Source organism: Homo sapiens, chromosome 14, assembly GCF_000001405.40.
Source record: "Homo sapiens chromosome 14, GRCh38.p14 Primary Assembly".
NCBI classification, from domain to species: domain Eukaryota; kingdom Metazoa; phylum Chordata; class Mammalia; order Primates; family Hominidae; genus Homo; species Homo sapiens.
Genome location: NC_000014.9, coordinates 103,461,239 through 103,475,453, shown reverse-complemented (window position 1 = coordinate 103,475,453; position 14,215 = coordinate 103,461,239). Strand labels below are relative to the sequence as shown.

General features: G+C 43.1%; 1 protein-coding gene across 38 annotated transcripts in view; it reads right to left on the bottom strand.

Moving 5' to 3' along the window:
* Window positions 1-14,215, bottom strand: part of MARK3 (microtubule affinity regulating kinase 3) — a 118,417-nt gene that overhangs the window by 28,378 nt on the left and 75,824 nt on the right. For 23 of the 38 annotated variants that reach the window (NM_001128918.3, XM_005267641.6, NM_001128919.3 and 20 more), the window contains 7 exons: window positions 12,993-13,049; window positions 9,661-9,897; window positions 9,363-9,482; window positions 9,012-9,111; window positions 8,263-8,375; window positions 7,268-7,421; window positions 244-461 (listed from right to left, as the gene is read on the bottom strand). In NM_001128918.3, the coding sequence (NP_001122390.2) occupies window positions 244-461; window positions 7,268-7,421; window positions 8,263-8,375; window positions 9,012-9,111; window positions 9,363-9,482; window positions 9,661-9,897; window positions 12,993-13,049 (999 nt within the window). The remainder of the gene's footprint in view (window positions 1-243; window positions 462-7,267; window positions 7,422-8,262; window positions 8,376-9,011; window positions 9,112-9,362; window positions 9,483-9,660; window positions 9,898-12,992; window positions 13,050-14,215) is intronic. The other 15 variants (XM_005267642.6, XM_017021292.3, NM_001437367.1 and 12 more) reach the window with 2 other exon arrangements.

The window sequence follows — 14,215 nt, the reverse complement described above, 5'->3', positions numbered from 1 at the left end:
TTTTCTTTATAAATTAGCCAGTCTCAGGTATTTTGTTACAGCAGCAAGAATGAACTAAGAGAGTGTCAACAATAAATACCTACAATGCAGCAGGTAGGATTTCTGTAAGTTAAGATTGGGCATGGCTGCCTAGTAGAGAGGGCATTCCAGTACGAGAGACCACAGGAGTAAAATGAACACCTGGTGTCTAGCTGGTTCCAACCCTACCACCCTAAGACCACTCTATAGTTCAACAACACTTACACTAGGGACAGTGGAGCTTTTCTTGCGTTCAGGAATATCCGCCTTATTAGGATTACTTGCATTCCCAAGCATGGGACTGGCTGGAGCAATTCCCTTTCCTCCAACAGCACTGCCACTTGATTTCCGGGAGGAAATTCCATCTTCTTTGAGGTCACTATCTGCAGTGCTGGTCTGACTCCTTTTCGGATACGCCACAACAGAAGGAATAGCTGGTCCAGCTAAAATAAAGAGTTCATTTTTTAAATGACTGAATATAGTTTCAAGTTTTATTTTGTGACAGTAACCATATTTTGTAAGATGATCTAAGGTTGCTATTCACCTAAAAAATGTAAAACAGTAAAATCCTCTAAGATGTTTCCCACTTATATCTAATGTTTGCCTTATGCAATGAATTCAATATTGAAATTTCACTTAATACTCCTTTCTACTTAAAACATTTTTTTTTTAATAGTAAGAGTTTAGAGTTGTCCTTTGGAAACATCTTAAGGTGGTGGTACTGCATAGATTCAAACTAATTAGATGCATACGTAACAAGCAGAATGAACCAGTTCATCTTGTACATCTGAGTGAATTACATCCTCTTTTGTAGGAGAGATGCCATCACCTTTTGGAAGAGAAAAGTATAGATTTTATGGGCCACTTCTTTTGAAGTTTTATCTTGGATCTTTTTAAAAGCACTCATAATCTTCTAGATAAACCGGAGTTTGAGTAGACAGGGGAAGGTGTAGAAGCAGAGGAATCATGCAAGCGACAGGGAGGAAGTCGGTGGAGGTCACTAGTCATTCCTGCCACTCCAGGAGGAGTGTGTCCAGGGACATGTGCCTAGGGACATGTGGATGACAGACTAATGTCCTGTAGTAAACCATATAGAGACTCCAATAGCAGCACAGGAGATTCAGAGGGCAAAGAATCTTGGAAATGAACATGATAACTAGTATATGCCTCAGATATGATAATCCAGTGGTAATCTTAAAAGACAGAGTCAAATGCTTGTTTTTTCTTTTTCGAGACGGAGTCTAGCTCTCTCGCCCAGGCTGGAGTGCAGTGGCGCAATCGCGGCTCACTGTAACCACTGCCTACTGGGTTCAAGGGATTCTCCCGCCTCAGCCTCCGGAGTAGCTGAAACTACAGGCGCATGCCAACTAATTTTTTTTTTTTGTATATATTTTTTTTTTTTTAGTAGAGACGGGGTTTCACAGTGTTAGCCAGGATGGTCTCGATCTCCTGACCTCGTGATCCACCCACCTTGGCCTCCCAAAGTGCTGTGATTACAGGCATGAGCTACTGCGCCCAGCCTGTTTTTTCTAAGGCAGAAGAGAATTTATATTTTAGATATATTAAAGGTGGGAGGTGTGTGGTAGTTCATGCTTGTAATTCCAACACTTTGGGAGACTGAGGTGGGAGGATGGCTTCAGCTCAAGAGTTTGAGGCTACATGTGGCTTGGGTGACAGAGTGAGAACCTGTCTCAATAAATAAATTTAAAAAACAAACAAACAAAAACCGGGAGTGGGGAGGAGTTAGTTCTTGGACAAAAATCTAAATGGCAAACCTATTTGGAACTGAATTAAAAGTAAATGAGGGCTTAATTTTATTTGTGGGAGAACAACAACTAAGCTTTCGGTTTAGTGATTTTAACATATAAAACAAAAACTTAATCAAGCATAGGGTGATATTAGCCTCAATGCTTATCTTTCTTCCCAATACCATGAGACGTCTACTGACATTGTGAACTTTCAGATTACTACTGATTGGCTTTCCAGCTTTTATTTGTGTTTAGAAAATACAAAACCTTTTAAGATTTGAGATTCTGAAGAGAAACAGACCTTGATCTAATCCACTGACCTCGTTCAGATTTCCCCAGTTTTACTTGCACTAATTTGTATGTTTGTGTATCTCATTCTATACTCTTTTATTACATGTTCAGATTCATGTGGTCACCATCAGTCAAGATTCAGAACATTTCCATCTCAAAGACCCTGTAGACTACCCTTTCATAGCCACAGCCACTTCCCTCTTACTCTCCCTTTTGCTAAACCCCTGCAACCGCTAACCTGCTCGCCATCTCTAGAATTCTGTCATTTCAAGAATGTTATATGAATGGGCATCCATGGAATGTAACCTTTTGTGTACTTTCATGCAGTATAATTCCCTTGAGATCCATCTGAGTTGTGCACATCATAGTTTGTTCCTTTTTTTTTTTTTCGAGACGGAGTCTCGCTCTGTGGCCAGGCTGTGGAGTGCAGTGGCTCAATCTTGGCTCACTGCAACCTCCACCTCCCAGGTTCAAGCGATTCTCCTGCCTCAGCCTCACAAGTAGCTGGGACTACAGGCGCCTGCCACCATGCCCGGCTAATTTTTTGTAATTTTAGTAGAGACGGGGTTTCACCATGTTGGCCAGATGGTCTCGATCTCTTGACCTCGTGATCTGCCTGCCTCGGCCTCTCAAAGTGTTGGGATTACAGGCGTGAGCCACCGCGCCCAGCCTGTTCCTTTTTATTGTGAGTAGTAGTCCATGGTATGGATGTGTCACACAGAAATTTCATTTTTTTTTTTTTTTTTTTTGAGATGGAGCCTCGCTCTGTTGGCCCAGGCTGGAGTGCAGTGGCATGATCTTGGCTCACTGCAAGCTCCACCTCCCAGGTTCACGCCATTCTCCTGCCTCAGCCTCCTGAGCAGCTAGGACTACAGGCACTTGACACCAAGCTCAGCTGATTTTGTTTTTGTATTTTTAGTAGACACAGGGTTTCACCGTGTTAGCCAGGATGTTCTCGATCTCCTGACCTCGTGATCCGCCCACCTCGGCCTCCCAAAGTGCTGGGATTATGCGACCGGCCAGAAATTTCATTTTTATGTAATCAAATTTGTAAGTCTTTTATTTCATGGGTTTGGTGTTTGGGGTGACAGAAACACCTTCACCAGTCCAAGTTACAAAGCAAATAATCCCAAGGTTTCTTTCAATATTTCTGGAGTTTTATTTACATCTTTTTTTTTTTTTTTTTTGAGACGGAGTCTCGCTCTGTCGCCCAGGCTGGAGTGCAGTGGCTCGATCTCGGCTCACTGCAAGCTCCGCCTCCCGGGTTCATCCATTCTCCTGCCTCAGCCTCCTGAGTAGCTGGGACTATAGGTGCCCACCACCACGCCTGGCTAATTTTTTCTATTTTTTAGTAGAGACAGGGTTTCACCATGTTAGCCAGGATGGTCTCGATCTCCTGACCTCGTGATCCACCTGCCTCGGACTCCCAAAGTGCTGGGATTACAGGCATGAGCCACTGCGCCCAGCCCTATATTTGTATCTTAACTCCAATTAGAATTCATCCTTGTATAAGATGTGAGAAATTGATCCAAATTAATTTTTTTTCTGAGAACTACCAAATTGCCCCAATACCACTCATTGATTAGTAAACAGTGATTTTTTTTTTCATTTTTTAAAAAACAAGCTAACCCCTTGAAAATCAGATGATCACCATTCGCAGAAAAAGTGCACACATATGGGGTGTTCACATGTGGGTCTCAAACGAGGAAGGACAGCTACAGATTACATCGTAGCTTTAGAGAAGCAGGCACCCATGCAGAGGTCAGCATCCACAGGCAAGGAAAAGGGAAGGGAGAGGTGAGACGAGGCAGGAGGATGAGGTGAAAGTTAGCCCGGCTATACAGGCTTGCCTGCCTTCAGAAATTCCAAGAAAGATGAGGATTATGAAAAAGCTACTCCAATGAGGTGCTTCAGTGGAGAAAAAACACAGGGCTTGGACCAGCAGGCCTGAGCTCTGCCCCAGGTGTTTCTCATTTACTATGTAACCTTGGGAGACTTGGTAATCTCTCTTGGTCTATTTAGGGATAAAACAGAGGTTTGGTGAGTGTACAATACCATGTCTAAAGCTCTTTTTATCTCTAAAATTGAGCTGGGGGGAAAAAGGCACTAATAATCTGGATGGAATCTATGTGCTTAAGGAATAACTTACTAACATATTCCTTAGAGAAATGTGAAAATCCCATTGTCAGGTTTCTTCTAGGATTGAGGGACAAGTTAAACCAGATGGTTTCAGGGCAATATATGGGCATTTAATTGCCATGTGGTCCATAAGCACTAGAAACCCCCCTTGTTAGTGACTAACATGAACACAAAAAAGGCAGACCTAGATCAACACGTCACCTACAAATGCTAGGAGCACAAATCCTGATGTGAGAATGAGTTCTGAGCTCTCAGTTACACCCTAGAATAGCAGGCACTGTAGATGGTTTACTAGTGATATTAGTACACTGTTGCTTCAGTCTAAACCATGTAGAAAGGCAAGCAACAGAAGGAAGAGAAATGGAAATCAAGCCAAGTGTAATCATTTTTAGTACAAAATCAAAGCTGTCCACACCTAAAATGCCCTGTGCAGTCCTAAGTGTCAAATCTCAAGATGAAAGTATTAAGATGGAAAATGTCCAGAGAAGAGAAATAAAATGAGGCCGAGCGCAGTGACTCATGCCTGTAATCCGAGCACTTTGGGAGGCTGAGGTGGATGGATCACCTGAGTTCAGGAGTTCGGGACCAGCCTGGCCAAATGTGGTGAAACCCCGTCTCTACTAAAAATAAAAAAATTAGCTGGGCATGGTGATGCATGCCTGTAGTCCCAGCTACTCGGGAGGCTGAGGCAGGAGAATTGCTAGAACCCAGGAGGCGGAGGTTGCAGTGAGCCGAGATCGCGCTATTGCACTCCAGCCTGGGTGACAAGAGTGAAACTCCATCTCAAAAAAAAAAAAAAAAATAGATTTAGTTCCTGAATCCTGGAATAGTAGAATTAAAGGAAATATCTGCAATGTTAACATTTATAGTTATGGGCAAGTAAACACACACGCTAGCCTCAGGACTCTGACACACAGGCTGCCTTGAAGGCAGAGCAACTGTAGAGCCTGGTAAGCCTACCCACTGGGAGTCTTATGTCTCATAAAGGACTGGCTTCTAGGTGAAGTTTAAAAGGGAGAGTGGCTTAACCACACTAACAGCAAGAGTATGGATGAGAATGACACAGTACAACATTTAAACCAATTAAGGCAAAACTGAGGTTCCATATATTCTCCAGGGCTGTCCTGTCTATTATGAGAGTTACTGGCCACAACTGGCTATATATTACACTTAAGTACAAATTTTTTTTTTTTTTTTTGAGATGGACTCTCACTCTGTCACTAGGCTGGAGTGCAGTCACACGATCTTGGCTCACTGCAACCTCTGCCTCCCAGGTTCAAGCGATTCTCCTACCTCAGCCTCCTGAGTAGCTGGAATTACAGGCACACACCACCATGCCCAGGTAATTTTTTTATTTTTAGTAGAGATGGGGTTTCACCACGTTGGTCAGGCTAGTCTCGAACTCCTGACCTAGTGATCCACACGCCTCGGCCTCCCAAGGTGCTGGAATTACAGGCATGAGCCACCATGTCCGGCCAGGAAAATTTTAAAAGGGTAAAAATCAGCCAGGCCAATTACAGACTCACACGTGTAATCCAGCACTTTGGGAGGCCAAGGTGGGTGGATCACCTGAGGTCAGGAGTTCTAGACCAGCCTGGCCAACATGGTGAAATCCCGTCTCTACTAAAAATACAATATTGGCCAGGTGTGGTGGTGTGTGCCTATAGTCCCAGCTACTTCGGAGGCTGAGGTTGCAGTGAGCGGAGATCATGCCATTGCACTCCAGCCTGGGTAACAAGAGCAAAATTCCATCTCAAAAAATAAACAAATAAATAAGGCCAGGCGCGGTGGCTCACACCTGTAATCCCATCACTTTTGGAGGCCAAGGTGAGTGGATTGCTTGAGCTCCCAAGTTCAAGACCAGCCTAGCCAATATGGTGAAACCCTGTCTCTATTAAAAATACAAAAATTAGCCGGGTGTGGTTGTGCATGCCTGTAATCCCAGCTACTCAGGAGGCTGAGGCAGGAGAACTGCTGGGACCTGGGAGGTGGAGGTTGCAGTGAGCCAAGATCATGCCACTGCATTCCAGCCTGGGCGACAGAGCCAGATTCCATCTGAAAAATAAATAAATAAATAAATAAATAAAAATAATAAAAAATAAATAGAAATAAAAAAGGTAAAAATCATTTCCTCAGTTCAAGTACTTGATAGCCACAAGTGGCCAGTAGCTTCTTGACTGGACAGCACAGATACACAAAACTGTAATCATCTCAGAAAGTTCTACTGGACAGTGCTACTCTACAAAGTAAATCCAATGCAGAGGTGAAGAGAGTGAATAGAACTACAGACTAGCAGTTCTATTCAGTTCGGTACAGCGCCCAGTTCTAGCGCTGGGCATGGTGGCTCACGTCTGTAATCCTAGCACTTTAGAACGCTGTGGTGAGAGAATAGTTTGAACTTGGGAGTTTGAGACCAGCTTGGGCAACATAGCGAGACCCCCATCTCCATTTAAAAAAAAAAAAAAAAAGGAAAACTACAGATTAAAGCAGAGGTTCTAGAAGGGCAAATGGTAAGGTTTCCACTCAACTAAGCTTTATCCAGCAAAAATCTACTGCATGTATAAAGAAGATAAGAGCCTTGAAGTAATATGTAATCATGGCAGCACCTGCAGGAACACTAAGAAAAAATGCTGGCCAGGCACGGTGGCTCATGCCTGTAATTCCAGCGCTCTGGGAGGCCAAGGCAGGTGGATCACTTAAGGCCAGGAGCTGAAGACCAGCCTGGCCAAATGTGGTGAAACCCCGTCTCTACTAAAAATACAAAACTTAGCCAGGCATGGTGGTACACACCTGTAGTCCCAGCTATTCAGGAGGCTGAGGCAGGAGAATCGCTTGAACCTGGGAGGTGGAGGTTGCAGTGAGCCAAAATTGTGCCACTCCACTCCAGCCTGGGCAACAGAGTGAGACTCTGTCTCAAAAAAAAAAAAAAAAAAAAAAAAAAAAGAAGAAAGAAAGAAAGCAATGCCAAGAAAGGACATCAAGCCAGGCTCTGAGCAAGAGAATGCTTCCCAGTGCTAGGAGACCTCTTGCCTGGACTCTAAGAGAAGGCACTGGGATACTCCAAAACTTACCATGGTCACTGTAGCGTCTTTGCTTTTGGCTTGAAGAAACACTTCTCTGCACTTTGTGGTGAGGAGACTGGCCAGTACTGTTGTTGAGATCACTGCTCGGCCTAACCTTAGCAAGTGAAAGATTGCTGCTAGAACTGGAATCACTAGCATCCAGCTAAGAGAAAATGAGAAAAACAGAGCAAACCACAACACGAACCCAAATGGCTTATTAGGAAGTTAAACTTTTCATTAACACAGACCTCTCATAAACCGTTCATTCAGAGAGAGGAGGAATCACAACGTACAAAAATGACAACCCTAAACTCAAGCAAAAGTAGTTTTCTGACGGCTGGAAAGACACTAAAGGTAAGGTATTTATGATTTTCTTTCCAGGCTTTCTCAAATAACTTTAAATGTTGTATTTACTTCATCTGATGCTTTACGTCATTTCTAAGCTATTAATGACTACAGGTTAATTTATGAAAGACCAGGTTTATGACAACATCCATCTTTTTTTTTTTTTTTTTTTTTTTGAGACAGAGTCTCGCTCTGTCACCCAGGCTGGAGTGCAGTGGCGTGATCCTGGCTCACCGCAACCTCTGCCTCTCAGGGTCAAGCAGTTCTCTTGCCTCAGCCTCCCAAGGAGCAGGGATTACAGGCAAGCGCCAACACGCCCAGCTAATTTTTTGTTTGTTTGTTTGTTTTAGCAGAGACAGAGTTTCCCTATGTTGGCCAGTCTGGTCTCGAACTCCTGGTCTCAAGTGATCTGTCCGCCTTGGCCTCCCAAAGTGCTGGGATTACAGGCATGAGCCACCACGCCTGGCCAATATCCATCATTAAGGGTTAAGTTAAAATAGCTTATAATAGTCATAGGATTTAGATTTGCTATTTGCAAGTAAATCTAAAAAATGATGTATCAAATGTTACAAATATTCAAAAGATAAAAACTAAGAAAACAGTTTATATAAACTAATAATTACATACAGGGTATTTCAGCTCTTTCTGATTACTCTTACCTCTGAAGATTTTCTCCCCAATAACAAATATGTAGCTGTGATTTCATCGTATTTCATCTTACTAAGAGATTCTTGAATTTCTTCTTGTGAATATCCCATTCCCACCATAATATCTAAAAGAAGGGCATAATACAGTTTATGTGTTTTGTTTGGGTAAGAAATCATCCTTTTTTTTTTTTTTTTTTTTGAGACGGAGTTTCACTCTTGTTGCCCAGGCTGGAGTGCAATGGCGCGATCTTGGCTCACCGCAACCTCCACCTCCCAGATTCAAGCAATTCTCCTGCCTCAGCCTCCCGAGTAGCTGGGATTACAGGCATGAGCCACCGTGCCTGGCTAATTTTGTAGTTTTAGTAGAGATGGGGTTTCTCCATGTTGGTCAGGCTGGCCTCGACCTCCCGACCTCAGGTGATCTGCCCGCCTTGGCCTCCCAAAGTGCTGGGATTACAGGCGTGAGCCACCACGCCCGGCCAGAAATCATTCTTTTGTAGGGTAAAATAATTTTCATTTGACCTAAAAGATGACATATTACATATATTTTGTAACATAAATGGGCACTTGTTTCAGAGTTACTGGGTGCCATTATAGGAAACTGCAGGTAGTTACGTTCCTAAATATGACAGAACAGATAAACTGTTCATATGACTTGTGCTTAACTTTCCATTATTCACATTTTAGGCACAGACATGAGTCAAAACAGAAATATGTTACTTAGACAAAAACACATGAACATGCAGGCATGGAGTGATTACCTATTCTTTTTTGGTCTGAGATGTCTAGCTCTGGTTCAACAAATGGTTTGAGTTCATCTTCTTCATGCCCTGCATTGATCCACCTGTCCTTCATGATTTGCTAAAAAAGGTAAACTGTTCATTAGCAGAGTAAAATGAAATATTCTGATAACCGTAATATTTACAAAAATTTATTTTCAACATTTCATTGACTATCGTTCAAAGCATAAACTCAAAAAATATTTTTTAATGTTTCAATTCTTGCTTAAAAAGCCGCAGGATATATCCAGTATGGCATACAAATCAAGCAAAGATCTAAGGTCACTCTAAAGACTCTCCAAAGTTACTGCTTGTTTCCACCTACATGATTACCTCTAGAGTGCCGCGTTTAATTGGATTTAGCACCAGGAAACGTTTGAGAAGGTTTTCACAGTCTGTAGACATGTAGAAGGGAATTCTGTATTTCCCTCTTAATACTCTCTCTCTCAGTTCCTTTGGAGAGGTACAGAGGAAAGAAAACGAGTAAGTCAACCTTTAGGTTTAGTTAACAAAACACAACAAAAAACCCCCTGAAACCCCCCGCACTGATATAATGTTAAAAATATTAAGCCATGTAATATTAGGAAACTTCTTTTAGTTTAGTGAAGTACATGGGTGCAGCTTCTTATACCTTTAGGTTTTGCCCATCAAAGGGAAGTGAGCCACTGACTAGTGTGTATAAAATGACCCCCAGACTCCACACATCCACTTCTGGCCCGTCATATTTCTTGCCCTGGAAGAGCTCAGGTGCTGCGTATGGAGGACTGCCACAAAACGTGTCGAGTTTACCGCCAACAGTAAATTCATTGCTAAAACCGAAATCTGCTATTTTAATGTTCATATCGGCATCTAACAATAGATTTTCAGCCTAGAGGGAAAACATCAAGACAAAAATGAAATTTAGCCAAAATAGAATTAGAATTATGACAGGATTAGGCATTTTAGAAAAGCTTTCTGTAATGATATGAAGTTACCTCCTAATTAATGTGAAAACATTCTTTCTAGAGAAAAAAACAGGAGACAAGTCAGAACTCCTTATTTTATAATATTAACAATAACAAACATGAAGTACAGATTAATTCTAGCACTAATTTAAACATCAATGTCCCAAGATCAAGAAAAGCCTTGAGTTTTTCAATTGATAATAATAATATGGGGGCTGGGCACGGTGGCTCACACCTATGATCCCAGCACTTTGGGAGGCCGAGGTGGACGAATCATCTGAGGCCAGGAGTTCAAGACCAGCCTGGCCAACATGGTGATACCCTGTCTTTACTAAAAATACAAAAATCAGCTGGGTGTGGTGGTACACACCTGTAATCCCAGCTACTCAGGAGGCTGAGGCAGGAGAATTGCTTGAACTCGGGAGGCAGAGGTTGCAGTGAGCCAAGATCGTGCCACTGCACTCCAGCCTGGGCGACAGAGCAATACTCCATCTCAAAACCAAAAAACAAGAATAATATGGGGCAGGGCCAGGTACAGTGGCTCACTTGAGCCCAGGAGTTCAAGACCAGCTTGGGCAACATAGTGAGACCCTTTCTCTACAAAAGATTTTTAAAAATTAGCTGGGTATGGTGGCACACATCTGCAATCCCAGCTACTTGGAAGGCTGAGGTAGGAGGACCTCTTAAGCCTGGGAGTTTGAGGCTGCAGTGAGCTATGACTGTGCCACTGCACTCCAGCCTGGGTGACAGAGTAAAACCCTGTCTCAAAACATAAATAACTTTTTTTAAAAAGGGGCATTTCATAAAAACGGCTAAATAGCTATAAAACGGCTGTTAATGAGGAGGGGAGAATCCTAAACCTCATTCAAGAGTCAAATCATGGCTGGGTGCGGTGGCTCACGCCTGTAATCACAGCACTTTGGGAGGCTGAGGCGGGTGGATCACCTGAGGTCAGGAGTTCGAGACCAGTCTGGCCAACATGGTGAAGCCCCATCTCTACTAAAAATACAAAAAATTAGCTGGGCATGGTGGTGGGCGCCTGTAATCCCAGCTACTTGAGAGGCTGAGGCAGGAGAATCGCTTGAACCTGCGAGGTGGAGGTTGCAGTGAGCAGAGATCGCACCACTGCACTCTAGCCAGGGCAACAAAGTGAGACTCCGTCTCAAAAAAAAAAAAAAAAAAAAAAAAAAAGAGACAAATCACAGTCACTTTAAGAAACATTTCCTATGTGGCTACTCCACAGCAGATGCTATATTAGTGTCTGGATGGATAATGATGAACAAGACAGATAAAGCCCTACCCTCAGTAGCTCACAGTTTAGAAGGGAAGAAGGAGAATGATAAGCAGCTGTCCTGAGACAAAATGCCATAACTGAAGAGGCACAGGGAGTTGTGGGTTGGCACTGAAAGGTGTGAATGGCTTCCCAGATGAAGTGAAATCAAAGCACCAGAAGGTGCATCTGATCATAATGGATGTGTTGATGAGGGGTATTTCAGGCAGAATAAAGAGTCTGAGAACCCATGTGAGACACAGTATGTTTCACACAAGAAATTGAAAGACAGTATGTGAGATAGAGATGTGTAGAGGGGGCTGGGGAGATGGTCAGGGCTTAATCACAAAGGATTGTACTTGAGAAGTTTGGGTTTTCATCGTAAGAGCAATGGGAAGCCAATGAAGAGTTGTTCAAGCAGAGAAATGACCATCTTATTTGTGTTTCCTTAAAAGACCATTTTGGGTGCAGTGTAGAAAACATACATGGGAGGAAGAGGCACTAGAAACAGAGAAGAACATATAAGAAAGTAGTGTCGGAATCACCTATGAGATAATGGTGGTCTGGCCTTGGATAGTGTAACAGGGACATAAAAGAGTGAGCTTAAGAGATACTTGGAACACAGCAGCAAAAGGACCTGGTGACTGAGTGGGTAGCACAGGAGAGTAAGGTACTTGAGGGACATCAGACACCTGAATGAGAAGTGAACATTCATGTTTATAGGATTTGAACCTGCTGCACCCAAGGGATGCTTATATGAAGACACCCTTTGCTCAGCTGGGTCCTGGATCCCAGAAGAGTGCTCTGGCCGTAGGAATGGATTTGGGGCCATCAGCATACAGTTGGCCACTGCAGTTGAGAGAGTGAATGTGAATGCTCTAGGGGCGGGTGCAGAGAACAAGCAAGTCAATGGCAATTACGTAAGGGGAGAGTGAAAGTGAGTGCCAAGTTAAGACACAGAATCTAGGAAATGTTTAGAGAAATATGGCTATGAAAGGGAAGAGAGAAAAAGCGTGTATCTGAAAGAGGAACAGGCATGGCTTTTTAGTTAAAAAAAAAAAAAGGTATATAGACTTGAGCATGTGTAAATGCTGCTGGTGAAAAGCCAGTAGAGAAGGAGAGTGAATAAACAAACGGAGAGAAAAGAGGCATCAGACAGAGCACAGCCCCCAGAGGGAATCAGGACCCAGAGCTCAGAGCAGAAGCACCCCACTTTCCTGTAACAGGAGGAAAGAAGTGATGGATGGGGGTAGGTGCTGCTAGGTTTGAGGGCCTGGTAGAAAATGAGAGTTTCTGCATGGTGTTTCTATTTTCTCTGTGCGATACGAAACCTCATCCTATGCCAGAGTGAGGGCAGAGGCTGAGGACCTTGAAAGAGGTCTCAAACAGGCACTGCTGTTAACGGGAGAGAATACTGATGAAAGCAGCAGAAATGAATGCCGGGTGGCACTGAGGATGCTGTGGGCGTGACCATACATTTCTGGAGGCCCACATTTGTTTGGCTGTGTGATGACTGTTCTCCAGAGATCAACCACCAGTCACCGTAACTGAAATGTAAAATACTTTCAATAACCTTTATTTTTCTTTATTTTTAATGCTCTTTCCCATAACTTGATTAAGAGGATTCAATTATTGTGGGATTTTAAAAAATGCTAATAAGGCTAATCTATACCTCATTTGTGTAATGACCACTGAGAGAACTGCACACAAACAGACAGAGCATACACTGAGTGAGGCACTTCTACTCACCTTGAGGTCTCGATGTACGATCCGTTTCTGATGGCAGTATTGAACTGCAGACACAATCTGAATAGGAGAGACGCAGAGTCAGTCATCACTGGTGCAGATTCGTAATTAAGATGAAAATAACTTTGTTAATGTTCACACATAATGAATACTCAGTATACGCTCGAATGTCCGTGTGGATTTCTAAAAACAATTTTCCTATGCCTTGAACTTTCCAGTCTGGAGAAATTCATGGGTGAGGGCAAAAACAAATAGGTGAGGACGTTCTTCCGTTTTCTACTGTTTTAACTGAAGTCTCTTTTTGGACCCTATCCGTTGACATTCCACTTACAGTGTAGTGCCAGGACCCAACAAATTGCCTAGATCTGGAGGACCCTGGCTGCCCCTAGGCTCCGATGGCTCTGGTGCAACTTTTTTTTTTTTTTTTTTTTAACAGAGTCTCGTTCTGTCACCCAGGCTAGAGTGCAATGGCATGATCTTGGCTCACTGCAACCTCCCCGTCCCAGGTTCAAGCAGTTCTCCTGCCTCAGTCTCCCGAGTAGCTGGGATTACAAGTGTGCACCACCATGCCCGGCCAATTTCGTATTTTTAGTAGAGATGGGGTTTCACCACGTTGGCCAGGCTGGTCTCGAACTCCTGACCTCAGGTGATCCGCCAGTCTCAGCCTCCCAAAGTGCTAGGATTACAGGTGTGAGCCACTGCGCCCGGCCTGGTGCAACCTTTCCATACCCATAGAGTCAACTCCAAACCAAACCAGCGGTTAGAGAGTTGCCCATACCCAGGTGTTAATCCAGGTTGGCTCTCTTCTGTAAGTGCCCTTCTCAGCCTGCTCCCTGCAACAGTCTTCCTTCTAACTGATGTGGATCATGGAAAGCAAAAGTTAGTTAACTTCTCTGAGGGTCAGTTTCCTCTTCCTTTATTAAAATGGAGGAATGAATGTTGCGACGTACGTGAACTATGAAAACTACTACGTGCACTATTAAGGATTCCTCCCACTTTCAGTAAATAGTATGCTTTTATTTAGTCAACTTGCAGTCATGCCTATGATTAAACAATTGTTTTACTGAAATTTCACACTTACGGTCACTTAAAAAAAGTCTTCTAATATTAAAGCTTTATATGGTCATTGTAGAAATTTCAGGAAATACAGAAAAGTCTATAGAAATATATTCCTGCATTACCACTAAGCAGAGGTAACATGTCTTGCTATTTTGCTGTACTTGCAT